The sequence below is a fragment of the Homo sapiens genome, chromosome 18 (assembly GCF_000001405.40).
Source record: "Homo sapiens chromosome 18, GRCh38.p14 Primary Assembly".
NCBI classification, from domain to species: Eukaryota; Metazoa; Chordata; class Mammalia; order Primates; family Hominidae; genus Homo; species Homo sapiens.
The window spans coordinates 14,316,396-14,344,377 of NC_000018.10; the positions used below are offsets into that span (position 1 = coordinate 14,316,396).

The 27,982-nt window shown below is 48.1% G+C and overlaps 1 pseudogene across 1 annotated transcript; it reads left to right on the forward strand.

The window, feature by feature from the left end:
- The first annotated feature begins 21,027 nt into the window (after window positions 1-21,027).
- Window positions 21,028-26,129, forward strand: CYP4F35P (cytochrome P450 family 4 subfamily F member 35, pseudogene; annotated as a pseudogene). The gene is made up of 4 exons (NR_026756.1): window positions 21,028-22,501; window positions 23,117-23,245; window positions 23,987-24,256; window positions 25,127-26,129. The product of NR_026756.1 is annotated as a cytochrome P450 family 4 subfamily F member 35, pseudogene (transcript).
- The last annotated feature ends 1,853 nt before the right edge of the window (window positions 26,130-27,982 follow it).

Consider the following 27,982-nt stretch of genomic DNA (forward strand, 5'->3'; position numbering starts at 1 on the left):
GAGCTGCCCAAGGCCTTGGGAACCCCGCCCTCATACCCTTGTGCCCTGGATGTGGGACAAGGATTAAAAAAGGATGACTTTGGAGCTGTAGGTTTGAATAACTGGCCGGCTGGGTTTTGGATTTTCATGGGACCTGTAAGTCCCGTTTGTGTTTTGTTCTTCTCTCTGGCAAAAATCTTCCTTTTGGTTGGGAATTCTTACTCAATGTCTGGACAATCATACCTTGGAAGCAGTTAACTTGCTTTGTATTTCCGAGGCTCAGGAGCAGAAGGGACTGCATCTTTGTCTTAGATGAGAGTTTGGGCTTCAGACATTTGAGTAAATGCTGGAATGAGTTAAGACCTTGGGGGTCTTAGCCAAGATGATGGGGAAAAGTCATTGAAGGCATTTCATAGCTTCACTTCACAGTACTAATTTTCTGTATGATCATACCAAAAAGGTGTTTAATTGGCTCATGATTCTGCAGGCTGTAAAAAAAAAGCACAGTGGCTTGGGGAATGGTACGTAAGGCATCATTGTATTTTGCAAAGTGAGAAGGACATGAGATTTGTGGGGCAGGGACAGAATAATAAGATTTGGCTGTGTGTCCCTATGGAAACTCATGTGGAATTGTAATCAGAAATGTTAAAAGTGGGACCAGGTGGAAGGTGATTTAATCATGGAGGGCACTGGGTGTTGGAAGGGGGGGATTGGGGAAAATGGGTAGATTATGGTGGGAGTGAGGGGTGAAAAGTGGGGGTGGGGGAGGATCCTTCACAAATGGTTAAACATCATCTCCTTAATCCTTTCCTCATGATGGTGAGTTCTCGTGATGGTTTTGGAGCTGTGAGATTGAATGGATACTGGCCTCCTGGGTTTTGGACTTGCATTGGCCCTGTCATCCCATTTGTGTTATTTTCCTGGCAAACATCTCCCCTTTGGATTGAGAAAACTTACCCAATGCCTGTACCATCATTGTACCTTGAAAGAAAAGAAATCCCTTTTAAATTCAGGAACTTATAGGCCAAAGGGTCTGTAGCCTTTTCTCAGGTGAGACGTTGAACTTTTTACATTTGAGTTAATGCTGAAATGACTTAAGACTTTCGGCAACTTTTGAAAAGGCATGATTGTATTTTAGTCTGTGAGACGGATATCATATTCGGGGGTTCAGGGTCAGAATAATATGGTTTAGCTGTGTCCCTACCTAAACTCACATGTAATTGTAATCCCGAATGTTGCATATGGGGCCTGGTGGGAGGTGATTTATTCATGGATTGGAGAGGGGTTGGATTGGAAGTAAAAACAGGTGGGCAAGTTGGGGAGGAGTAGGCTGGCTGTAGGGTTGTGTGTAGCAGGAGGGGAGTAGCCTGCCGCAGATGCAGAGGCTCATGGGAAAACTCTACTAAGGCAGTGCACCTGTGACTTTGCAGGGTTTAGCACCTGTAGCTGCTCTCATGGGCTGGGCTGGTGTTGAGTGCCTGTTGCTTTTCCATACATGGGGTGTGAGCTGTTGATGGGTCTGTGAATCTGGGTTCTGGAGGATGGTGGTATCCTACATGGGGTCTCCAAGCCCATAGTTTTCTTCTAAACAGCCATGGTAGAGGTTTTCCAAGAGGATCTGCCTCTGCCTCAGGCTTCTGCTTGGAAACAGTGGGTGGTAGATATGGGATAGTGGGCGGATCCTTTACCAACATTGAAGCACCATCTTCTTGATGCTGATCTCCTGATAGTGAGCTCTAATGAGATCTAGTTGTATAACAGGCTGTCGCACCTCTTTCCTCTCTCTGTCTTGCTTCTACTCCTGCCATATGAAACATTTCATTGCCGCTTGGCTTTCTGGTATGATTGGGAGGCTTCCTGAGTCCTACTATAAGCAGAAACCAGTATGCTTTCTTTATAGCCTGAAGAACTGTGAGTTAACTAACCTCTTTTTTTATGTACATACAGAAAATTAATGCTGCGAAGTGAAGCTATGAAATGACTTCTAGGCCTTCCCCCAATCTCTTGGCTATTAGCACTGAGCTTTTTCAATGCAAATATTGGAGGCCTTCTTGATGTTTCCCCCTGATGATGGACTTTTCTTCTTTTACCACATTGCCAGGCTACAAAAAAGATAGCTGACAGTGTAGAAGCAGGTTCTGAATTACATAATGGCCAGATGTTAGAGAGTTTGGAGAGCTTGGAAGAAAAGAGGAAGATGAGGGAAAGTTTTGACCATTGCAGAGACTTGTTAAATAGTTGTGATTAAAAGGCTAACATAAGGATGGACAGTGAAGGCCAGGTTTACAAGATCTCAGGTGAAAATGAAGGACTTACTGGGAAGAGGAGCCAAGGTTTTTTTGTTTTGCCTTAGCAAAGTAATTGACTACACAGTGACCCTTCCCGGGAGATCTGTGAAACTGAACTTGAGGGTGATGATTTAGAGTGTATCTGGTGGAATGAACTTCTAAGCAACAATGCTCAAGAGTTTTCCTGCCTACATTGAACAGCCTGTGCACCTATGTGTGATCAAAGAAATGACCATAAGTTGGAACTTATATTTAAAAGAGAAGCAGAGTTTAAACATATGGAAAATTTGTAATCTGCACAAGTGGTCAAAAAGAAAAGCTGATTTTCAGGGGGAAAGTCAAGAAGGCTTCAGATATTTGCATAAAAAGGATCCCAGTGCTAATAATTCAAGACAATGGGAAAAAGGCCTTGAAGGCATTTCAGTGACCTTTGTAGCAGCCCTTGCTGTCACTGGCCCTGGGGCCTAGGAGAAAAGAATAGTTTCCTGGCCCAGCCCCATGGCTCCACTGCTGTGTGCAGCCTCAGGACACTGCTGCCTGCATCCCTGCAGCTCCATCTCCAGCTCCAGCCATGGATGAAAGATGCACAGGTACAGCTTGCGTCACTGCTTCAGAGGATGCAAGCTCGAAGACTTGGTGGCTTCCACATGGTGTTAAGCCAGCAGGTGCATAAAGCAAGGACTAGAAGCTTCCGAGCCTTCATCTAGACTCCAGAGGATGTATCAGAAGGCTGATTGTCCAGCCAGAAGCTTTTTCAAGAGGCAGAGCCTCATGGTAAATCTATACTCAGGCAGTACACAAGCAGAGTATAGGGTTGGAGTCCCCATACAGGGAGGCACCATTTTCCATTCCCCAGTTTCATAGACCCACCAGCTGCTTGCACCCTTAGTGTTGAAAAGCTACAGGTACTCAACACCAGCCTAGTCAATGAGGGCAGCTGTAGGGGAAAGATTCTGCAATGCCACAGGTGCAGAGCTGCCCAAGGCCTTGGGATCCCAGCTGTCATATCACCCTGTGCTCTGGATGTGGACATAGATTCCAAAAAGATGATTTGGTTGTGTAGGATGGATGACTGGCCTGCTGGGCTTTTGACTTGCAGGGGGTTTATAAGTCCCATCTGTGTTTTGTGCTTCTTTCTGGCAAATTTCTTCTTTTTGGCTGGGAATGCTTCACCAATGCCTGTACAATCATTGTACCTTGGAAGTAGTTAATTTGCTGTGTATTTCAGAGTCTCAGGGCAGAAGAGACTGCAGCCTTGTCTAAGAAGAGACTGTGGGCTTTGGATATTTGAGTAAATGCTGGAATGAGTTAAGACTTGGGGGATTCTAGGGAAGGCATCGTTGCATTTTGCAATATGAAAAATACATGAGATTTGGGGGACCAGGGATAGAATAATATGTTTTGACTCTGTGTCTCTACCAAAACTCATGCGGAATTTTAATGGGAAATGTTAAAGGTGGGGGCTGGTGGAAGGTGATTTAATCATGTTGGAGCGTGGAGGGTGGATGCTGGGGGTGGTGGGGAGGGTTGGGGCTATAGGTGGGTGGGGAGGGTTGGGGTATTGTAGTACAGTTGTGGCTGAAAGGCAGGGGTGGGGGGTGGATCCTTCACAAATGGACATTTCAGTAAATGCTGGAATGAGTTCAGACATTGGGGGACCTTAGAGAACACATCATTATATTTTGCAGTAGAAGAAGGACATGAGATTGCGGACCAAGTGGAGAACAGTATGATTTGGCTCTGTGTCCCTTCCAAAACTCATCTGGAATTGTAATGGGGAATGTTAAATGTGGGGCTTGATAGAAGGTGATTTAATCATGGTAGAGAATGGGGGTTGGAAGGGGGATGTGGGAGAATGGGGGTGCAGGGTATGGGTGGGGGTGAAACGTTGGGATGGGCGGCAGATCCTTCACAAGTGATTAAATACTATCTCCTTAATGCAGTCTGTGTGATAGTGAGTTCTTATGATAAATGAATGCTGTCCTGCTGGGTTTTGGACTCGCATTGGGCCTGTGTCCCATTTGTGTTATTTTTCTGGGAAAAACTTCCCTTTTGTTTGAGAAAGCTTACCCAGTGCCTGTGCCATCATTGTAACTTGAAAGAAAAGAATTGTCTTTTACATTCAGGGACTCATAGGCAGAAGAGATTGCAACCTTGTCTTGGATGAGACTTGAACTTACTACATTTGAGTTACTGCTGGAATGAGTTAAGACCTTTTGAAACTTTTGAAAAGGTATGTTTGTATTTTTCTGTGTGAGAAGGACATGAGATTTGGGGGTGTCAGGGTCAGAAAAATATGGTTTGACTGTGTTTCCCTACAAAAACTCATGGGGAATTGTACTCCTGACTGTTGTAGGTGGGGCCTGGTGGGAGGTGATTTAATCACAAACGGGAGGTTGGTAGGGGTGGAAGGGAAAACAAGTGGGTAGGGTGGGGAGGAGTAGGCTGGCAGTAGGGTGGTGAGAGGGTGGTGGGCAGAAGGAAGAGGGAGTAGCCTGCTGCAGAGGCAGAGCCTCATGGAAAACCTCTACCAGGGCAGTGTGCCTGTGGCTTTGCAGGGTGTAGCCCCCATGGCTGCCCTCGTGGGCTGGGCTAGTGTTGAGTGCCTGTAGCTTTTCCATACTGAGAATGCAAGCTGTTGGTGGGTCTATGAATCTGGGGTCTGGAGGATGGTAACCTCCTGCGTTGGGCTTCCAAGCCCATATATTTTTTCTGCACTGCCGTAGTACAGGTTTTCCAAGAGGCTCTGCCTCTGCCTGAGGCTTCTGCCTGGAAACAGTGGGGTGTGGGGGTGGTAGGGGACAGATCTTTCACCAATGGTTAAGCAACATCTTCTTGATGCTGCCTCGTGGTAGTGAGATCTCAGGAAATCTGTTTGTATAACAGGGTTATACAATGTGTGGCACATTTTTCCTCTCTCTGTCTTGTTTCTACTTGTGCCATATAAAACTTCCCATTGCTGCTTGCTCTTCTGGTATGATTGGGAGGCTTCCTGAGTCCTCCCAGAGGCAGAAGCCTCTAGGATTTATTTAAAGCTTGCAGAACCATGAACCAGTTCAACCTCTTTTCTTTCTGATCATACAGAAATTTAGTGCTGTGAAGTGGAGCTATGAAATGCCTTCAAGGCCTTTTCCTTATTGTGTTGGTAATCAGCACTCAGCTCCTTTTCAGGCAAATGTCTGAAGCCTGCATTAATTTTTCTCCTGAAATGGACTTTTCTTCTGTTACCACATTGCCAGGCTGTGACACATGTAGCTGAAAATGTAGAAGCAGGTTGAGAAGTGTGTAATGGCCAGAGGTTGGAGAGTTTGGAGGTCTTGGAAGAAGACAGGAAGGTGAGGAAAAGTTTGGATCAGTGTAGAGACTTGTTAAATAGTTATAATTAAAAAGGTGACATAATGATGGACAGTGGCCACCAGGCTTACAAGGTCTCACATGAAAATATGTGACCAAAGAAATGACCTCAAGGTGAAACATATTTAAATGACAAGGAGAGCTTAAAAGTTTGGAAAATTTGCAGCCTGGCCAAGTGGTCAAAAAGAAAAGCTTATTATCAGTGGGAAAGTTCAAGAAGGCTTCAGAAATGTGCATAAAATGGAGTTCAGTGCTAATAGCCAATACAATGTTAAAAAGGCCTTGAAGGCATTTCAGAGACTTTTGCAGCAGCCCTTGCTATCACAGGCCCTGAGGCCTGGGAGAAAAGAATGGTTTCCTTCTCCAGCCCCATGGCCCCACTGCTATGTCCATCCTCAGGACACTGCTGGCTGGATTCCTGAAGCTCCAGCTCCAGCCATGGTTGAAAGATGCACAGGAACAGCTTGGGTCACTGCTTCAGAGGGTGCAAGCTGCAAGCCTTGGTGGCTTCCACATAGTGTTAAGCCAGCAGGTGCGCAGAGCACAAAACTGGAGGCTGGGAATCCTTTGTCTGGACTCCAGAGTATGTATGGAAAAACCTGGGTGTCCAGGTCGAAACTTTTCCAAGAGGCAGAGCCTCCTTTACTAGGGCAGTACAGAAGGAACATATAGGGTTGGGACCGCATACAGGGAGGCACCATTCTGCAAACCCCAGATTCATAGACTCACTAGCAGCTTGCACCCTCATTGTGGAAAAGCTATAGGTACTCAACAGCAGCCCAGCCCATCAGGGCAACTGTGGAGGTTAGACCCTGCAACGTCACAGGTGCAGAGCTGCCGAAGACCTTGGGAGCCCAGGACTCATACCCTTGTGCTCTGGATGTGGGATCTGGATTCAAAAAAAATGATTTGGAACTGTAGGATTCAATGACTGGCTGTTGGATTTTTAACTCCTATGGGGTTTGTAAGTCCCATCTGTGTTTTGTGCTTCTTTCTGGCAAATTTCTTCCTTTTGGCTGGGAATACTTACCCAATGCCTGCCTGTACAGTCATTGTACTTTGGAAGTAGTTAACTTGCTTTGTATTTCAGAGGCTCAGGTAGAACATATGGCAGCCTTGTCTCAGAAGAGACTTTGGGCTTTGGACATTTCAGTAAAAGCTGGAATGAGTTAAGAGATTGGGAAACTGTAGAGAAGTCATCATTGTATTTTGCAGTGTGAGAACAACATGAGATATGGGGGCCAGGGTCAGAATAATATGATTTGGTTCTGCATCCCTACCAAACTCATTTGTAATTGTAATGGGGAATGTTAAAGGTGGGGCCTGGTGGGAGGTGATTTAATCATGGAGAAGAAAGGGGGTTGGAGGTAGGGGAGTGGGGAGAATAGGGGAGATTATTTTGTGGGTGGGAGTGAAAGAAGAGATTGGGGGCAGATCCTTCACAAATGGATAAACACACTCTCCTTAATGCTGTTCACATGATAGTGAGTCCTCTTGATGATTTTGGAGCTGAGAGATTGAGTGAGTACTCTCCTGCTGGGTTATGGATTTGCATTGGGCCTGTGGGCCCATTTGTGTTATTTTTCTGGGAAATTTCTTCCTTTTGGACTGAGAAAGTTTACACAATGCCTGTACCATCATTGTACCTTGAAAGAAAAGAACTCCATTTTAAATTCAGGGACTCATAGGCAGAAGGGACTGTGGCCTTATCTGAGATGAGACTTTGAATTTTTTACATTTGGAATGAATTAAGACTTTTCAAACTTTTGAAGAGTCATGATGGTATTTTGCTCTGTGATAAGGACTTGAGATTCTGGAATATCAGAGTCAGAATTATATGGTTTGCCTGTGTGTCCCTATGAAACTCATATGGAATTGTAATCCCTAATGTTGAAGCAGGTGACTTAATTATGGACAGGAGGTTGGTGCTGCTGGAAGGTAAAAGGGATGGGTAGGATTGGGAGGAGTGGGTTGGCAGTAGGGTGGTGGGAGGGTGGGGTTAGAGGGAAGGGGGTGTAGCCTGCTGCAGAGGTAAAGCCTCATGGAAAACCTCCACTAGAGAAGTGCACCTGTGGCTTTGCAGGTTTAACCCATCAGCTGTTCTTGTGGGCTGGGCTGGTATTGAGGGCCTGTAGCTTTTCCACACTAAGGGCGTGAGTTGTTGGTGGGTCTATGAATCTGGGATCTGGAGGTTGGTAGCCACATGTGTGGGGGCTCCAAGCCCATATTTTCTTTCTGCACTTCCATAATAGAGGTTTTCCAAGAGGCTCTGCATCTGAAGGAGGCTTCTGCCTGGGAACAGTGGGAGTTGGGGATGGGGGGCAGATCCTTCACCAATGTTTAAGCACCATCTTCTAGATGCTGACCTTGTGATAGTGAGTTCTCATGAGATCTGCTTGTATAATCGGGCATGACAACTTTTTCCTTTCTCTGTCTTGTTCCTTCTCTTCCGATATGAGACATCTCCTTGCTCCTTGACATTCTGGTGTGATTGGGAGGCTTCCTGAGTCCTGTCAGGTGCAGAAGCCACTATGCTTCCTTACAGCCTGCAGAATCATTAACCTATTAAACCTCTTTTCTTTATGATCATGGAGAAAATTATTATGGCAAAATGGAACTGTTAAATGTCTTCAAGGCCTTCTCCCTAATGTCTTGGCAATCAGCACTCGGCTTCTTTTCATTCAACTATCTGAAGCCTCCTTGAATTTTTCCCCAGAAAATGGGCTTGTGTTCCTTTACCACACTGCCAGCCTGTGACAAAGATAGCTGATAATGTAGAAGCAGGTTCAGAAGGGGGTAGCAGATGGAGTTCGGGAGAGTTTGGAGGACTTCAAAGACAGGGAGATGAGGGAAAGTTTGGATCTTTGTAAAGAATTGTTAAATACTTGTGATCAGAAGACTCACAGGAAAATAGACAGTAAGGATCAGATTGAGAAGCTCTCAGATGCAAATGAGGAACTTACTGCAAACAGGAGCCAAGGTTACTTTTGTTTTGCTGTAGCAAAGGACGTGGATGCACAGTGACCCTGCCCTGGAGATCTGTGAAACTTTGAACTTGAGGGTGATGACTTACTGCGTATCTGATGGAATGAAGTTCTGGGCAGCAAAGCTGCAGTGGTGTCCTGTCTGTATCAAACAGCCTGTGCCCTTATGTGTGACTGAGGAAATGACATCTGGATGGGTCTTACATTAAATGAGTCCGAACTCTTATATTAAATGAGAAACAGAACTCAACAATTTGCTTCCTGGCCAAATGGTCAAAAAGAAAAGCTGATTTTCAGGGGAAAACTGAGGAAGGCTTCAGAAATTTGCATGGAAAGGAGCCCAGTGCTAATAGCCAAGACAATAGGGAAAAAGCCTTGAAGCCATTTCAGAAACCTTTGTAGCAGCCCTTGCTAATATAGGCCCTGGGGCCTAGGAGAGAGGAATGGTTTCCTGGGCCAGTTGCATAACCCCTGTCTGTGTGCAGCCTCAGGACACTGCTGCCTGCATCCCTGCAGCTCTAGTTCCAGCCAGGGCTGAAAGATGCACAGGTACAGCTTGCATCACACTTCAGGGGTGCAAGCTTCAAGCTTTGGTAGCTTCCACATAGTGTTAAGCCAGCAGGTGCACAGAGCACAAAACAAGAGGCTTGGGAGCCTTTGTCTAGACTCCATAGTATGTACGGAAAAACCTGGGTGTTCAGGCAGCAGCTTTTCCAAGAGGCAGAGCCTCATGGGAAACCTTTACTAGGACAGTACAGAAGGACAATATAGGGCTGGAGTCCCTAAATATGGAGGCACCATTCTCCAGACCCCAGATTCATATACCCACCAACAGCTGGCACACTGAGTGTGAAAAGCTACAGGCACTCAACACCAGCCCAGCCCATGAGGGCAGCTGTGGGGGATAGACCCTGCACAGCCACAGGTGCAGAGCTGCCCAAGGCCTTGGGAGCCCAGCCATGACACGCCTGTGCTCTGGATGTGAGACGTCCATTCAGAAAAGATGATTTGGAGCTGTAGGATTCAATGACTGGCCTGCTGGGTTTTTGACTTGTATGGGGTCTGTAAGTCCTTGGACATTTTAGTAAGTGCTGGAATGAGTTAAGTCATTGGGGGACAGTAGAGAAGTCATCAGTGTATTTTGCAGTTTGACAAGGATACAAGATTTGGGGAGCAAGAGCCAGAATAATATGATTTGATTCTGTGTCTCTACCAATACTCATGTGGAATTGTAGTAGGGAATGTTAAAGGTGGGACCTGGTGGGAGGTGATTTAATCACGGAGAAGAGTGGGTGTTGGAGGTAGGGGTGTGGGGATAATGGGAGAGATTATTTTGTGGGTGGGAGTGAAAGATGAGGGTGGGAGGGCAGATTCTTCACAAACGGGTAAACGCTATGTCCTTAATGCTGTCCGCATGATAGTGAGTTCTCTTGATGATTTTTGAGCTGTGAGATTGAGTGAATACTGTCCTGCTGGGTTTTGGACTTGCATTTGGCTTGTGGTCCCAGTTGTGTTTTCTGCGAAATTTCTTCCCTTTGGATTGAGAAAGCTTATACAACGCCTGTACCATCATTGTACCTCGAAAGAAAAGAAATCTCTTTTAAATTCAGGAACTCATAGGCAGAAGGGATAGTAGCCTTGTCTCAGATGAGACTTTGAACTTTTTACACTTGGAATGAGTTAAGGCTACTGGAACTTTTGAAAAGGCATGATTGTATTTTGCTCTGTGATAAGGACATGAGATTCTGGGATATCAGGGTCAGAATAATATGGTTTGGCTGTGTGTCCCTATAAAAATTCAGGTGGAATTGTAATTCCAAATGTTGAAGGTGGGGCCTGGGGGAAATGATTTAATCATGGATTGGAGGTGGTTGGGGGTGGAAGGAAAAGGGTTGTAACTGAGTGAGTTGTAGAGAAACCCCACACTATGAGACGAATTCAGGAGTCCTTTATTGCTGGTGACCGAGAGAGCGCTAGTGCTCAAACTTCTCTCGGCCCCTAAGAAGGGGCTAGATTTTCTTTTATACTTTGGTTTAGAAAGGGGAGGGGGAGCCTTGCTGAAGCAATCTTACAGAAGCAAAACAGGCAAAAAAGTTAAAAAGATAAATGGCTACAGGAAAACAAACACTTCCAGGTGCAGGGGCTTTAAATCCATCAAAAGGTGAGAGATGTGGGGCTTTGGGTGCTATCAACTGGACACAAATGTGGGGGTTTTAGGTACCATCAACAGGGTGAATTCCTGGGAACTGTGGATATAGCTTTCCACAGTATCTTGTCAGTATTTGCATTCTTTGATGTGCTGGGAGTCAGCTTGCACAGGTTATGTCCTTGAGGAAGGGGTGTGTGTAAGGGGCTGCAAGTGAAAGAGCCAAGATGGAGTCTGCCTGGCTCCCTCAGCTAAGGGAGAGTTGATCAGGTTAAAACAAGGTAGGGTATCACAAAAGGGTTGTTTAGGGTGGGGAGGAGTAGGCTGGCAGTAGAATGGTGGGCAGGTGGGGGATAGTAGGAATGGGGAGTAGCCTGCTGCAGAGGCAAAGCCTCATGGAAAACCTCTACTAGGGTAGTGCACCTGTGGCTTTGCAGGGTTGAGCCCCTGCAGCTGCTTTCATGGGCTGGGTTGGTGTTGAGGTTTGGAAAAGCCTGTAGCTTTTCCACAGAGGGTGTGAGCTGCTGGTGAGTCTATGAATCTGGGGTCTGGATGGTGGTGGCCCTCTGCGTGGGGGCTCCAAGCCCACTTTTTCCTTCCACACAGCACTAGTAGAGGTTTTCCAAGAGGTTCTGCCTCTGCAGCAGGCTTCTGTTTGGAAACAGTGGGAGGTGGGGGTGGGTGGTTGTTTCTTCATCAATATTTAAGCACCATCTTCATAATGCTGACCTTGTAATAGTGAGTTCTCATAAGATTTGGTTGTATAATAGGGTATAGTCCTCTTTCCTCTCTGTCTTGCACCTACTCCTGCCACATGAATCATCTCATTGCCCCTGGACATTCTGGCATGATTGGGAGGCTTCCTGAGTCCTCCCAGATTCAGAAGCCACTGTGTTTCCTTACAGCCTGCAGAATCATGAGCCAATTAAACCTCTTTTCTTTATGATCATAGAGAAAATTAGTGGTGCAAAGTGGAACTATTAAATGTCATTGTCTTGGCAATCAGCACTCAGCTTCTTTTCATTCAAGTATGTGAAGGCTTCATGAATTTTCCCCCTGAAAATGGACTTGTCTTCCTTTACCACATTGCCAGGCTGTGGCAAAGATAGTGATAATGTAGAAGCAGGTTCAGAAGGGAGTAGCGGACAGAGGTCGGGAGAGTTTGGAGGGCTTCAAAGACAAGAAGATGAATGAAAGTTTGGATCTTTGTAAAGAATTGTTAAACACTTGTGATCAGAAGGCTCACAGGAAAATGGTCAGTGAAAACCCGACTTAGAAGGTCTCAGATGAAAATGAAGCACTTACTGGGAACAGAAGTCAAAGTTACTTTTGTTTCCTTAGCAAAGAACGTGGCTGCATGGTGACTCGCCCTGGAGATCTCTGAAACTTTGAACTTGAGGGTGATGATTTACTGAGTATCTGGTGGAATGAACTGGGCAGCAAAGCTCAAGAGGTGTCCTGTCTCCATCGAACAGCCTGTGCTCTTATGTGTGATAGAGGAAATGACCTCTGGGTGGGACTTACATTAAATGAGTCCCAACCCTTATATTAAATGAGAAACAGAAGTCAAAAGTTTGGCAAATTTGCAGCCCGGACATGTGGTCAAAAAGAAAAGCTGATTTTCAGGGGGAAAATTGAGGAAGGCTTCAGAAACTTGCTTGAAAAGGAGTCCAGTGCTAATAGACAAGACAATAGGGAAAAGGCCTTGAAGGCATTTCAGAGACCTTTCCAGCAGCCCTTGCTGTTAGAGGCCCTGGGGCCTAGGAGAGAATGGTTTCCTGGGTGAGTTCCATGACCCCCCTCTGTGTGCAGCCTCAGGACACTGCTTCCTGCATCCCTGCAGCTCCAGCTCCAGCTCCAGCTCCAGCCATGACTGAAAGATGCACAGGTACAGCTTGGGTCACTGCTACAGAGGGTGCCGCCTAGAAGCCTTGGTAACTTCCTCATAGTGTTAAGCCACTGGTGGACGCAGCATGAGACTAGAGGCTTGGGAACCTTGCTATAGATTTTGGAAGATATATGGAAATGACTGGCTGTCCAGGCAAAAGCATCCCAAAAAGGCAGAGCCTTATATGAAACTTCTACTAGGGCAACACAGAAGGAAAATATGGTGTTGGAGCCCCCACACTGGAGGCCACCATCATGCAGACCCGAGATTCATAGACCCCCCAACAACTTGTATTCTCAGTGGGGAAAAGTCACAGGCACTCAACACCAGCCGAGCCCCTGAGGGCAGCCGTGGGGCATAAACCCTGCAAAGCCACAGGTGCCAAGCTGCCCAAGGCCTTGTGAGCCTAGCCCTCACACCCCTGTGCCCTGGATGTGGGACAAGGTTTCAAAAAGGCTGATTTTGGAGCTGTAGGATGGAATGACTGGCCTTCTGGGTTTGGAGTTTCATGGGGCCGGTAAGTCCTATCTGTGTTTTGTTGTTTTCTGGCAACATTCTTCCTTTTGGCTGGGAATGTTTACCCAATGTGTGTACAAGCATTGTACCTTGGAAGTAGTTAAGTTGCTTTATATTTCAGAGGCTCATGGGCCTAAGAAACTGTAGCCTTGTGTCAGATGAGACATTAAGCTTTGAACATTTGTATAAATGCTGTAATGATATAAGATTTTGGGGGACTGTAAGGAAGACATCATTGTATTTTGCAATGTGAGAAGGACATGAGATTTGGGGAGCCAGGGACAGAATAATAAAATTCAGCTCTGTGTCTCTACCAAAACTTATGTGGAATTGTCATCGGAATGTTAAAGGTGGTGCCTGGTGGAAAGTGATTTAATCAGGGTGGAGACTGGGGGTTGGAAGATGAGGCATAGGGGGAATGGGGGATTTATGGTGCGGGAGAGGAGTGAAAATTGGGGGTGGGGGGCGGATCCTTCACAAATGATTAAACACTCTCCTTATTGCTGTCCTTGTGATAGTGAGTTCTCTTCATGATTTTGGAGCTGTAAGATTGAATGGATACTGGCCTTCTGGGTTTCGGACTTGTATTGGGTCTGTGGTCCCATTTGTGTTTTCTTCCTGGGAAATTTCTTCCCTTTGGATTGAAAAAGCTTACCCAAAGCCTGTACCATTATTGTACTTTGAAAGAAAAGAACATACTTTTAAATTCAGGGACTCATAGGCAAAAGGTACTGTAGACTTGTCTCAGATGAGATGTTGATTTTTTTACATTTGAGTTAATGTTGGAATGAGTTAAGACTTTTGGAAACTTTTAAAAAGGCATGAATATATTTTGCTCTGTGAGAAGGTCATGAGTCTGTGGGGATCAGGGTCAGAATAATATGATTTGGCTGTGTTTCTTTACCAAAACTCGTGTGAATTGTAATCCTTAGTGTTGGAGGTGGGGCCTGGCTGGAGGTGATTTAATCATGGATGGGAGGGGGCCGGAGGTGGAAGGAAAAGGGGGGTAGGGTGAGGAGTAGATTGTTAGTAGGGTGGTGAGAGGGTGGTGGGTAGCAGGAAGGGGGAGTAGCCTGCTGCAGAGGCAGAGGCTCATGGAAATTCTCTGCTAGGGCAGTGCACCTGTGGCTTTGCAGGGTGTAGCCCCCATGGCTGCTCTCATGAGATGGGCTGGTATGGAGTGCCTGTAGCTTTTCCACGCAGAGAGTGCAAGCTGTTGGTGGGTCTATGAATCTGCAGTCTGGAGGATGGTGGCCTCCTGTGTGGGGGCTCCAAGCCCATATTTTCCTTCTGCACTGCACTCGTAGAGGTTCTCCATGAGGTTCTGCCTCTGCAGGAGGCTACTGCCTGGAAACAGTGGGGGGTGGTGCAGACGGATCCTTCACCATTGGTTAATCTTCCTGATGCTGATCTCCTGAGAGTGAGTTCTCATGAGATCTGGTAGTGTAACCGGGTGTGGCACCTCTTTCCTCTCTGTGTCTTCTTCCTACTCCTGCCATATGGAACATCTCATTGTCACTTGGCCTTCTGGTATGATTGAGAGGCTTCCTGAGTCCTCCCAGAAGCAGAAGCCACTTGCTGCCTTTACAGCCTGCAGAAACATGAGGCAGTTAAACCTCTTTTAAAAATAATATTATAGAAAATTTGTACTGTAGAGTGGAGCTATGAAATGCCATCAAGGTTTTTTCCTCTTTTTTTTTTTTTACTATTAGCATTTGGCTTCTTTTATATGCAAATATCTGAAAGCTTCTTGAATTTTCTCCCTGAAAATGGACTTTTCTTCTTTTACCACATTGCCAGGCTGCCACAACGGTAGCTGAAAATGTAGAAGCAGGTTCAGAAGTGGGTAAGGACCGGAGGCTGCACAGTTTGGGGGGCTTGGAAGAAGACAGAAAGATGAGGGAAAATTTGGACTCTTGTAGAGATGTGGTAAATTAAAAGGGTGAGCATAGAGACTTGTTACATAGCTATAATTAAAAGAGTGACTGAAGGATGGACAGTGAAGGCCAGGCTTAGAAGGTCTCAGATGAAAATGAGCAACTTACTGGGAACAGGAGTCAAGGTTACTTTTGTTTTGCCTTAGCAAAGAACTTGGCTGGATGGTGTCCCTGCCCTGGAGACCTCTGAAACTTTGAACTTGGGGGTGATGATTTAGGGTATATCTGGTGAAATGAAGTAGGCAGCAAAGCTCAAGAGGTGTTTTGTCTGTTTTGAACAGCCTGTGGTCTTCTGTGTGACTATATATAAATGACCTCAAGTTGAAAGTTATATTTAAATGAGAAGCAGGGCTTAAAAGTTTGGAAAATTTGCAGCCTGGCCAAGTGGTCAAAAAGAAAAGCTGATTTTCAGTGGGAAAATTCAAGAAGGCTTCAGAAATTTTCATAAAATGGAGCCCAGTGCTAATAGCTAAGACAATGTTTAAAAGGCCTTGAAGCCATTTCAGAGACCTTTGCAGCAGAGCTTGCTGTCAGAGTCCCCGAGTTCTAGGACCCAAGAATGCTTTCCTGGGTCAGTCCCATGGGCGCGCTGCTGTATCCGTCCTCAGGACACTGCTGCCTGCATCCCTGCAGCTCCAGCTCCAGCTCCAGCTCCAGCCATCGCTGAAAGATGCACAGGTACAGCTTGCATCACCGCTTCAGGTGTGCAAGCTTCAAACCTTGGTGGCTTCCACATAGCCAGCAGGTGCACAGAGCACAAAACTAGAGGCTTTGGAGCCTTTGTCTAGACTCCAGAGTATGTACGGGAACACCTGGGTGTTCAGGCAGAAGCTTTTCTAAGAGGCAGAGCCTCATGGGAAACCTTTACTGGGGCAGTACAGAAGGAACATATAGGGTTGGAGCCCCCAAACAGGAATGCACCATTTTCCAGACCCCAGATTCATGGACCCACCAACTGCTGGCACCCTCAGTGTGGAAAAGCCACAGGCACCCAACACCAGCCCAGCCCATGAGGGCACCTGTGGGGGATAGACCCAGCACAGCCACAGATGCTGAGCTGCCCAAGGCCTTGGGAGCCCAGCCATCCACTCCTGTGCTCCAGATGTGGGATACAGATTCAGAAAAGATGATTTGGGACCTGTAGGATTCAATGACTGGCCTGCTGGGTTTTTGACTTGCATGGGGTCTGTAAGTCCCGTCTGTGTTTTGTGCTTGTTTCTGGCAAATTTTTTCCTTTTGTCTGGGAATGCTTACCCAACGCCTGTACAATCATTGCACCTTGGAAGTAGTAAACTTGCTTTATATATAATTCAGTGGCTCATGGACAGAAGGACTGTAGACTTGTCTCAGATGAGACTCTGGGCTTTGGGCATTTCAGTAAATGCTGGAATGAGTTAAGACTTTGGGGGACTGTACAGAAGGCATCATTGTATTTTATAGTGTGATAAGGATATGAGGTTGGGGGGCACCCGAGTCAGAATAATATTTGACTTTTTGTCCCTACTAATACTCTCATGGAATTGTGATGGTGAATGTTAAAGGTGGGACCTGGTGGGAGGTGATTTAATCATGGAGAAGAGTGGGTGTTGGAGGTAGGAATGTGGGGAGAATGGGGGAGATTATTTTGTGGGTGGAGGTGAAAGATGAGGGTGGGGGTTGGATTCTTTGTAAATGGTTAAACACTGTCTCCTTAATGCTGTCTGCATGATAGTGAGTTCTCTTGATGATTACAGAGCTGTGAGATTGAATGAATACTGTACTGCTGGGGTTTGGACTTGCATTTGTGTTATTTTTCTGGGGAATTTCTCCCCTTTGGATTGAGAAAACTTACCCAATGGCTATTGTACCTTGAAGGAAAAGAAATCCCTTTTAAACTCAGGGACTCATTGGCAGAAGGGATTGTAACCTTGTCTCTGATAAGACTTTGAAATTTTTACATTTGGAATGAGTTAAGACTTTTGGAAACTTTTGAAAAGGCATGATTGTGTTTTGCTCTGTGAGAAGGACATGAGGTTCTGGGGTATCAGGGTCAGAATAATATGGGTTGGCTGTGTGTCCCTATAAAACTCACGTGTCATCCTTAATGTTGGAGGTGTGCCAGGTGGGAGGTGATTTAATCTTGGATAGGAGGGGTTTGGGGTGGAAGGAAAAGGAGGGTAGTGTGGGGAGGAGTAGGTTGTCAGTAGGGTGGTGGGAGGGTGGGAGTAACCTGCTGCAGAGGCAGAGGCTCATAGGAAACCTCTACTAGGACAGTGCACCTGTGGCTTTGCAGGGCGTAGCCCCCATGGCTGCTCTCATGGGCTGGGTTGGTGTCGAGTGCCTGTAGATTTTCCATACTGAGGGTGTGAGCTGTTGGTGGGCTTATGAACCTGGAGTCTGGAGGATGGTGGCCTCCTGTGTGGGGGCTCAAAGCCTATATTTTCCTTCTGCACTGCCATAGTGGAAGTTTCCTAAGAGGTTCTGCTTCTGCAGGAGGCTGCTGCCTGGAAACAGTGGGTGGTGGTGTGAGTGGAGAATCCTTCACCATTGGTTAGTCTTCTTGATGCTGATGTCCTGTTAGTGAGTTCTTATGTGATCTGGTTGTCTAACAGGATGTCACACCTCTTTCCTCTCTCTGTCTTGCTCCTACTCCTGCCATATGAAACATCTGATTGCCGCTTGGCCTTCTGATATGGTTAGGAGGGGCCTGATCAGTGTTGGCCTGCTCAGTGGACCTAGTCAGTTGGGACTTGGTCAGTGAGGCCTATTTAGTGGGGGGTGGTCAGCAGGTGTCTGCTTAGAGAGGGTCTCATTAGAGGGATCTAGTAGTGCAGGTCTTGGTGAGTGTGTTCCTAGTGGCAGACAAATGTTTGGTGTCTGGTCAATGCAAACCTGGGCTGTGGGACTTGGTCAGTGGAGACCTTGTCAGCTGGGGCTTAGCGGTGACCTTGTCAGATTGGGCTGGGTTACTGGTGACTATGTCAAGGGGTGCTATTCAGTGGAGGCCTGGCCACATGGGACCCAGTCAGCAGAGATGCTTGTCAGTGGGGCCCTGGTCAGGGCAGGCTGCTCAGTGGAACCTAATCAGTGGGGGCCTGGTCAGAAAGGACTTGATCAGTGGTGGCTTTTGTAGCACTGGTCTACGGGGTGACCTGGTCAGCGGGGATCTGAGCAGTGCGTGCCTGTTCAGTGGGGCATACTCATTAGAGTCCCGGTCAGGGGCATCTGGTCACCTCAGGCGTGGTTAGTAGGGGACTGGTCACTGGCAGCCTATTCCCTGGAGGCCTGGTCAGTGGGGCTTCATCTGTGGGACCAGGCAATGGGGTCATTATCGGTGGAATGTGATCAGTGAGGCCTTGTCAGTAAGGACCTGGTCAGTGAGGCCTTACCAGTGAGGCCTTGTCAGTAAGGTCCTTATCAGTGGAGTCCTGGTCATTGTGGGCCTGTCAGTGGGAATCTAGTTAGTGAGGCCTGGTGACAGGGGTCTAATCAGTGAAGGTGTGGTCAGGGAGGATCTGATATGCTGGATCTGGTCAGCAGGGACCTGTTCAGTTGGGGCTGCTGAGCACTGCAGGGAGATGTCAGGAGAAATGCATGTTGAAGGCCCTGTGGACAGCTGGGATGGCCCAGTGGTGTTCAATGGCCCAGTCAAAAGTGGACAAAGCAGGTGTTTGGATGGACCTGGGAGATCTTGCTCAGAGATTCTGACAGGACAAAGGTAAAGGAAGGGCCAGAGTGGTCGGAGAGATGGTCACAGTCTATGGGCTGCACAGGATGGAGGAGGCCAGGGAACAGGCAGGGTGGGCAGCTGGGTTTCAGGGAGAGGCATGTGCATGTTGGGAGGTCAGACTCTGTGAGGGCTGTGGGGGCATCAGGTGGACTGGGCTCCAGGAACACCCTCAGTGCACTGGGCAGGTCTTGGCCCAGGGTCCCTGGACCCTGGCTGGGTGATGTGGTCATTTGCTGGGGGACTATTGTCAGGCACTGGCCACCCAACCTGGGTAGCACTGTCCATCTCAGGACTGCACTTCCTCAGATCCTGCAGAGGGCACAGCCTCCAGCCCAGGAGGGGCAGCCCCATGGTGCAGCCTGAGCTCTCCATGGGTCTGGAGCATCCCCTGCCAGCCCTGCACTCCCTTTTCTCCCAGGTCCCGCTTTTCCAGGGACAGCCAGTGGGGAGGCCCCATCCTCCCTTCCCTATGTGTCTCCTGGGCTGAAACTTGCAGTGCACCGGGACAGGGATAAGGCTTCCCTAAGGCCTATTTAGGGAAGGGACTGGCTTCCAGCCTGGCACAGGTCCTCAGCTCTGCCACGGTTGCCTTAGACTGAGATGGATCAGTCAGTGCCCTGAAGGTAAAGGTAGCAGACTGTCCCTGCTGTTGGGAGGCTGGTCTAGGGATGGAGGACTTAAGAGGTCTTCCCAGTCTGTCAGGCCTGGGCAGTGCTGTCCTGTCTGAGGACTCAGAAAATCCAGTCCTGGGATGGGACAGTGCTGCCCAGGGTGGGTGGCCAGGGTCTGACAGTAGTCCCCCAGGGAGTGACCACATCACCCAGCCGGGGTCCAGGAAGCCTGGCCTGAGACCTGCCCATTACACTGAGGGTGCACCTGGAACCCACTCCACCTGATGCCCCCACAGCCCTCACAGGGCCTGACCTCCCAGCATGCACCTGCCTCTCCCTGCAACCAAGCTGTCCACGTTGCCTGTTCCCTCACTTCCTCCATCCTGTCCAGCAGGATGGGATGGGCAGGAGGACAGCCTGTGTGCACATTTCATGGCAGGTAGGAGTGACACACCATCCCTGGGAGGCGACTTGGTTCCTCCCAAACCCGGCCCCAGAACTCTGTCCCTGGGGTGGTTTTACCAAACCCGAAACCCAGAAATGTGGTTGTGGCTCAGGGGTCAGCACCCACTAGTGCCCGGACACTACTGGGAGGCTGGGACCTGACCAAAGCCCGTGGTGTCTGTGGCCTGAGGACAGGGTGTCTTGGGGCCATAAGGACAGGCCACAAGTTGCCATTGGGTCATAGGGGCTCAGCCCCAGTGTTTGTCCTTCCCTGGCTCCTTCCCATCAGTGCCTTGGAGCCCAAGACCAAGCATCCAAGGTTCCCTCCAGGAATCCTGGTGGCTCAGCTTACTTTGTCATGTTTCATCTGAGAGCAAAAATGTCAGATCGGATGCACAGAAAAATGGCTCAACATGCTTAATGACTAGAAGAAATCTAGGAGCAGCAAGAAGGTAATGTGGAGAGGGGAGGACCTCCATGGGACCTCCATGACCGGTGTCTGCAGAGCCAGGGGTACAGGCACCCAGTGCTGTGGTCTGGCACCACCTCTCAGAGGGTGGGTAGCACACTGTCCTTACCTCGGGGACAGCAGGTCTGGTCACCAGCTTTTGTACCTGTCTCTGCAAGCATTGCATTGCTGGAAGAGAATCTCATGCCAGAGCTTGGACCATGCCTTGCTCAGGGGTTAGGGGTTGTCTCTTGGTGACCTAATGAAAAAATAGCTCCAGATCATAGTTCCCACAGAGCCCAAGGCTGGAAACCTCCAGAATCCTCCGGCCCCCGATCCTCCCCAGGGACCCCTGTGGCCTATCTCACCAGAGCATTCTTCCATCTGTAGATTTCTTGGCTGCTCCACAAGGGAGTCCCACTTCAGGTGTGGTGCTGGGCATGATCACTCCTGCTGGATGTTTAGAAGGTGGAAACCAAGGACCTAGGGAAATACCAGTTACAGCCTTTCCACCCTCATCCAGAGCAGGACAAAGAGGCCAGGCGGTGTCAGGAGCCCAGGTCTCCAGCTGGAGGGAACATCAACCCTGCAGTGGGAGCAGGGGCCCATTGCACATCCTAGGCAGAGATGGTAACGTAGGCACCACAGGTAGGCAGGGATTGGTACCCCTCCCTGGCGTCAGAAAGAAGCCAAACAAGGAGCTTTCTGCAGAATGAAACCTCCTTTCCTTTCAGAAGCACTGCTGACAGTTTGGTGGTTGCCATTGGGACAGTGAGCCTTTTGTTCTTTCTGAGGTTGGGCTGGTTTCTCCTCTTGGCCCTGCCCTACAGACCGTAAAGGAAATCAGCAAGAAGTCCCCAGCAAACATCCACAGATGGCCCTGGACATCAGCCACATTCTGAGAAACATGTCACGTTCTGGGAGGGCTAAGGCATCAAGTAAGGCCTATGGGGCTGGAGAATCCGAGGGCAGGTGGGGCAACCCAGAGCCATGGGGGCTACCCATGGGAATTGGGAGGTCCCAAGGCAGATGCAGGGGTTCCACAGGAGAAGTCCCAGAGCCACCAAGTGCTCTCCTGTCCCAGGGAGCAGTCAACACCATGGACTGAACACTTACTGGGCTTCAAGCTCTGGGCCAGGCTGGGGCATGTGGGGCCATGAGGGAGCTCAGAGTGGGAGACAGAGAGACAAGTGTGCTCAGAGGGCACCCATTTCTGGGTGTAATGTGGTCCTGAGATTTTGGCTGAGAAGGGTTTCCAGGGTTTCATATGTGTTATGGAGCTGCTTCCTCTCCCCAGCCTCACCTTGCAGGAATCCCAGTGAATATATTGCCACCCTATTTGAGCTCAGTGCCCTCATAGTGTAATGGCACCAGCAGATCTGCCTGTGCATGGACTTCCTGTACTACCCATTCCTGAGGGGTGATGCTTCTGCAGGGCCTATGACCTGGTGCACAACTTTAGACACCATCATCCTGGAGCAGCACTGCACCCTCACTAGCCAGGGTGTTCATGACTTCCTCAAGGCCAAGGCCACGTTCAAGACTTGGGACTTCAGTGATGCACTTGTGCTGGGCAAGGTGGCTTCTCCGGTATCTTAATTTGCCATGGAAGGTGCTGGATAAAGGAGGGACAGTCAGATATGTCTTAGAGATGACTGTAGAAGGCTGCCTGGAAGGAGTGAACAAGAGCCAGGAGACCCAGGAGGGAGCTTGTGGGGCAGGTCTGGAGATGGCAAGGGAGGGATCCTGCTTGGATGAAAAGTCTTCAGGGACTGTCTCAGGTTACACTCAGGTGCCCTCAGAGCTAATGTGTTCAGAGGTCTTGTCTCCAGGATGAAAATGGGAAGGAGTTGTCAGAAGAGGACATATAAATGGAGGCTGGCATCTTCATGAGTACCAGCGGTGGTCCCGGTGTGGGTCTCTCCATCCAGGGACATGGTGGATGGACACTACATCACTCCATTCTGCCCTTCCTTTCCCTCCTCCCATTCTCCCAAGGGCCTCAGTGCATGGGCGGTGTCCAACCTCTGGTGCTGAATCAGCCAAGAGATCCAAGCCTGCTTGGCTGCCTCTTAGGATATGAAAGCACAGCCACTGGGCTCTACTGAATCCTATGCAACCTCAGAAGACACCCAGGAGTGATGCCATCACGTGGTGCAAGAGTTCTGAGGGACCGCAATCCTGAAGACATTGAATGGTGGGTGCAGGGCCTCATGGCCTGTTCCACAGCTCCTCTCATTGGCTCTGCTCCAGGTGGTGAAGGGGGATAACATTTCTGTCAATTCTGCCATGATTGCCTAGCAGGAAAAGGAGCAGAGCCCAGAAGCAGGGCCTGGTATGCAGCCTGCCTAACAAGGGAGAATTTATAGGCTCTGTGGACGGAAAGATCTGGGAGTCCATATCTATCACGCACTAGCTTGCTGAGACATTAGTAAAGTCAGTTTTCTGAACTACATTTCTGTCATCTGTAAATTGAGAGGAATTTCTTCTACCCCACGAGGCTTCTTGGATAGTTAGTGACAGTGTGTGTAGAGCAGGTGCCATCCAGCCGGCATTTGGTGTCCAGACCACTCCTCTTCCCCCTTGATTTTCTGCCTAAATTTGCATTTTGTTCTTAAGATTTTCACTCCCCTTAATTCTGCTCTTCCCTCTGATTTCTGCCTTACTGTATATCCCATGGAGTCACCAGGATCAAAGTGGGTAACCGTCATGTATGCATGTATGTGTGTGTACATATACACATTGCTGGGGTTGGAGTGTGGTGTGTGGGTAAGTGTGAGTTGGAATCACTGACTAAAACTCTCCACACCAGGCTGTGTTCCTGCTCATTGCTGGAGGCACTGTCAGGGGCCCTGTCCTCAACCCCGGGTCTGACACTTGCAGATCAGGCAGGACATTCTGGAGGAATCATGCCCTTGGAAGGATCCCTGAGGAGTGACTGGTGGGTATTGGTGGATAAATACCCCAGCTCCCTTGCTTTGGGTGGGATGACTCTGAGGCACATGTTCTGTGCTGTCTCTGCAGATGTGCCTGGCAGGGCTGAGTCCTGGCTGCCACAGAGGAAACTTTCTTGATGAAGGTCCCTTTAACTGCTGCATTCCTTTCCTGTCTCAGTTCCCCACTCCTCTACTGGTGTTTCCTGGGATTCGCACCCTAAGGAAGAACTGGCAGTCGAATTACTATCCTAGAGTTATCTCCAAATAGAATTTTTGTATTTGAATATGTGCCTCAGGATCTACTTCCAGGAAATTTATACTAAGGCACACATTTTTCTGTCAGCTCCTTCAATCCCCATAGGCCTGCCATTGTGCTGTTTTTATCGAAAGGGAATATGAGGATCAGAGAGGGGAAGTCACTTGCCCAAAGTCACCCAGCTGAACAGTGGTGGAGTTCAACTTTGACCATGGGAAGTCTGGCCCCAAGGTGGATGCTTGTTTGTATCCCATGAGACTCCTCCCTTACCAGGGTCAAATGAATGAATGGAGGATGTTAAAAGTAGAGTCTCTGATGCCTCTGCCAGTGAAACCCCAGGCTCATGGCTGGCACCTATGTTCTCACTCTTACCTCATTAGGAGTATAATGAAAAACATGCTCAGTGCTGACCGCGTGCCTGGGGGTGTTGTAGGCACTCTGCTTACTTTAATTCATTTAATTTTTACAATAACCTTGTTTTTACTTCTAGTTGTTAGATTAAAAAACAGTGGCAAAGAGCAATACAGAGAGTTGCCAAAATTCACACCGCTGGTCCAGGTTTGAAGCAAGCAATCTGTACCTGCAGTCCTTGTCTGTAACCATGGCACCCTGGCTTCTCACACATCTCATCGTGGAGTTCCACCATGTGTCAGGCATGGCACTGAGCACCTTCTTTTAAGAATATAATTTGTAATTATGTAGATTCTTAATTCTACTTCAAAATGCCACACAGCCTTCATGTGATAAAATGAAACAATTGGTGAGTCTAAGCATTGAGAAAAAACGTTCTTTTTTCCACTCCCGACTCCATTCCAACAGTTGGGACAGTGTTTTCTCTGTGCCTGTAGAAACCTCAGCTCCTGTGCTGAGGAGCCTGTTCCCTTTGGGGAATGTGGCAGTCAGGTACTGGCAGGGACCTCGAAGTGGCTGAAGGGTCATTAAGAAAAAGCTGTTTACGTAGGTGTGGGCAGGGCCAAGGGGAACCAGGGGGGATGGCGCAGGGCCCTGGGGTTAGCGTCATCTGGGAGCTGTCACCACCCTCCAGGCTGGTGGGGCCATGGAGAAGCTGTTTCAGTAACTCAGAGAATCTGCAGCTGAAAGAGGAGGCCAGAGGAGACATCACTCACTGTGCCCTTTGGCTGCATCTGGATGCCCTCACTGACCACACTACCATCCCCTTATTAGACTGGAGAGGCTGCAGGGAGGGGTTCTAAGCCTCCTATAGTGGCTCACCTCCAACAGTGAGTCAGCACCAGCCCCCCTAGTCCCACAGCACAGGGTCCACTTAGCCCCTGTATCCTGCGTGGTCCCCTTTCCTGCTGGGAAGCAGATATCCAAATGAACAGCAGAATCCTGTCTCTCCCTTCAGGCCCCTCTGCTCCTTATAAGTGGTGTTTTCCCTTGGTTTTGGATGAGAAACACCCTTTCCTCTTCCACAGGGATTGTTTCTGTGGACCCCACCCTGAGTTTTCCCCTGGTTAGGCAATGGGCAGGTGGGGATGGTGGGACCAACTCTTTAGAACCAGCAATGACAAACAGATCCCACTTGGGGGAAGTTGATGTTAAGTGTCATGGGTCCTCTGGAATTTTCTGAAGCTTTCCTGTTTTTTTTTTTTCTCCCCCTAACCAGCTCAACTGATCTCCTGGGATCTCTACTAAGATGTTGGCAGCCCGGTCAGCTGGTCTGGCCCTGGACGTGCCTTCAGGGTCTGGTTATGCTTCATGACCTGCATTGTGGTCAGTGGTAAGCAGCACCTGCTTCTAGCTTTACTGTTGGGTCAGATTTTATCCCCACTCCAGCTCTGCAGTGTGGCTGCTTCTTGATTCATCCATGGACCCTGCACGAAATTGCCCCATGTTACTGTTTGTGCATCACTGAGGAAGGAAGCATGAAGGACGCACAGGTCAGGCCATTCCATTGCCCTCCTGGTGCTGGGTTTGCCCTCCCAATCCTGGGGTTGCTTCAGGGGCTGGTCGTTCTCCATAGCCCCCTCCACATTTCTCAGGTTTCTGCTCAAAAGTCACCTTTCGGAGGGGTCTCCACCTGTCACTGTGTTTTTAAGAGCTCCTTCGGTTTCTTTCTAGCTCATCTCACTCTGGTAATGTCTTTGATTACCACCACCATCTGACCTGGTCTTATGATCTGTTAGCTTCCTTCATCAGATGTGAGCACCAGGATGGCAGGGGCCTCATCTGTCCTGTTCCTCCTGTGGCCTGGGTCCTAGCACCATGTCTGGTACAGTGTAGATGCTCAAGGGAAGTTTACTTTGTAGAACTGTTTATCTGGGAGATATTACTGTTGGTCTAACCTGTACCATATTGTAAACCTCCAGCCATTTTGCAGACTTTGATCACAGTGAAACGTTCCATGGGAACTTGGGCCATGAGAAACATCCTTCCTAACCACGTGACTGCAGAAACATCCTTATCACATCCTCCTGGGCAAAGGCCCAACAGCCTGACTGCAGGGACATCCTTGCCATATCCTGCTGGGCAGCAAGCTCTACCACCCAGATCCCTCCCTCCCAGTCCCATGATTACCCCAGCCTGTGAGTGGCAGTTGGTTCTGGCACTAAGCTGGTTTCCTCCTCCCCAGGGTTTTGCTGGCAATAAAGATGTTGCTGTTGAAGCCACCAACTGTCCCTCTGTCTTTCTTTAACCCTCGCCTTGCCTTCCAAACCTAACAATAACTCTACCTCTCCATTTTACCAATGAGGATGTGGGACTCAAGGAGAGCAAGAGACTTACCCAGTGAGTCACAGAGCCTGAACTTGAACTCAGTTCAGCTGAATCCAGAACTTGTTTCTCCCTGAGAGTCCAGGGAAGGAAAAGTGGAACTGCAGCCTGTAGGTGCCCTCATGCTTGTCCTAGAAGACCCCAGGCGGGCTCCTGGGAATTGCATCTTCATGCACACAAAAGAAGAACTGCTCACTGTCGCATCAGCTAAGGGTCCCCATTGTCCCAAATTGTTACTTCTTTTCAAAGTTTTGTTTTAATAATTACAGTTCTCACAGCTCAGTGTTGAATACAAAGCACAGAGGCATGTAGAAAGTCTTGTGTGGGTTTTTCTCAATTTTTTTCCCAGTGACTATATCAATAAGTTTACCAAAGAACACAAATACGCTCATACTTTTTATATAGAGATGAGGCCCTCCCTCCCATATTTCTCTGCCACTATTCTTCTATTTTTTTTCTTCATGTGAGGACCACTCTTTCAATACTAGCCCATGTGATTGGGGTGAGGCTGGCCACCCTGGGCAATCAGCAGGGTAATTAATTCAGGGACAGGCATGTGATCCAAGCTGGGCTGATGGAAGTCATCCCTGCACTTTTGATGAAACTGCTGGGAATGAGGTGCTTTCTTTTTATTGGCATAGCTATTTGCAAGGAAGTAAATGATATGGAATTTATGGGGCCATTTTTGCTGTTCTCTCAAAATAGCTAGCATGAAAAGCAGAGCTGACACAGGAAATGAAGGGACAGAATGAGTCTTGGTTGATATTATTTGACCCCTGATCTCACTGAGCCAGAAGCCCATCTATTTAAGGATATTTTTAGTAATTAGAGTCAAGTAATTCAATGTTCTCCTGGATCGAGTAGGTTTCAGTCACTTGCAGTTAAGAGAGTCCTGCGTAATAGCAATTTCTCTTATGGTTAGGTCCCACCTTCCAGAGCTTTAGAGCTGTAGAAGGTATAAAGTAAACCCAGGCAGTGCTGAGCTAGCCAGCCTCCTGGATAAGTGTGCAAAGGAACCCTGGAATCACTACCACTTTGGTCTGACAAGTAGCCTTGCCTGCTGCTTACCATACAGCCATAGGGGTACTGTTTCCCTGAGCCCTTAGGCATTATACCACTTTTTAAAAATGATTTTTATCTAAGAAAATGTTTTGTAGAGATGGTGTCTTGCTATGTTGCCCAGGCTTGTCTTGAACTCCTGGCCTAAAGTGCTGAGGTTACAGGCATGAGCCACTGTGCTTAGCCAGCACTATACTTCTATTAGTTGTCAACGTTTTCTTTGTTCTGTAGTTTCTAGTGTGTGCTTGAGCATGTGTGTGTGTGTGAGTGTGTGTGTGTGAGTGTGTATGAGTTTTTAGTTTGATCTTGCAGGGTTATTTCAAGCATCAAGTGGGATCCTTTAGGCACAGCACTCAGCCCAGTGACTGGCACATATGGTAAGCTCTCTCTGTTCTCCTCTTTTCTCCTCCTGATTCAGAGAATGACTTAAGGATCTGTGATGTGTGCCAATTTTCAATGCCCTGGATAAATAATGGGGAGATGAAATACTGTTGCCAGAAATTTGCACTAGTTTTAATTCATTTTATCTGTTTAGCAATGAGATATCTCAAAGTAACTGAATAAATTTATGTCATATATATATATATATATATATACATACACATAAGTATGTTTCTTGAGAGCTGACAGGCTTAGTTTTTGTTCCCTGATGCTGCGGTAGAGGCCACTGTGTTCTGATTTCTTGAGTGAT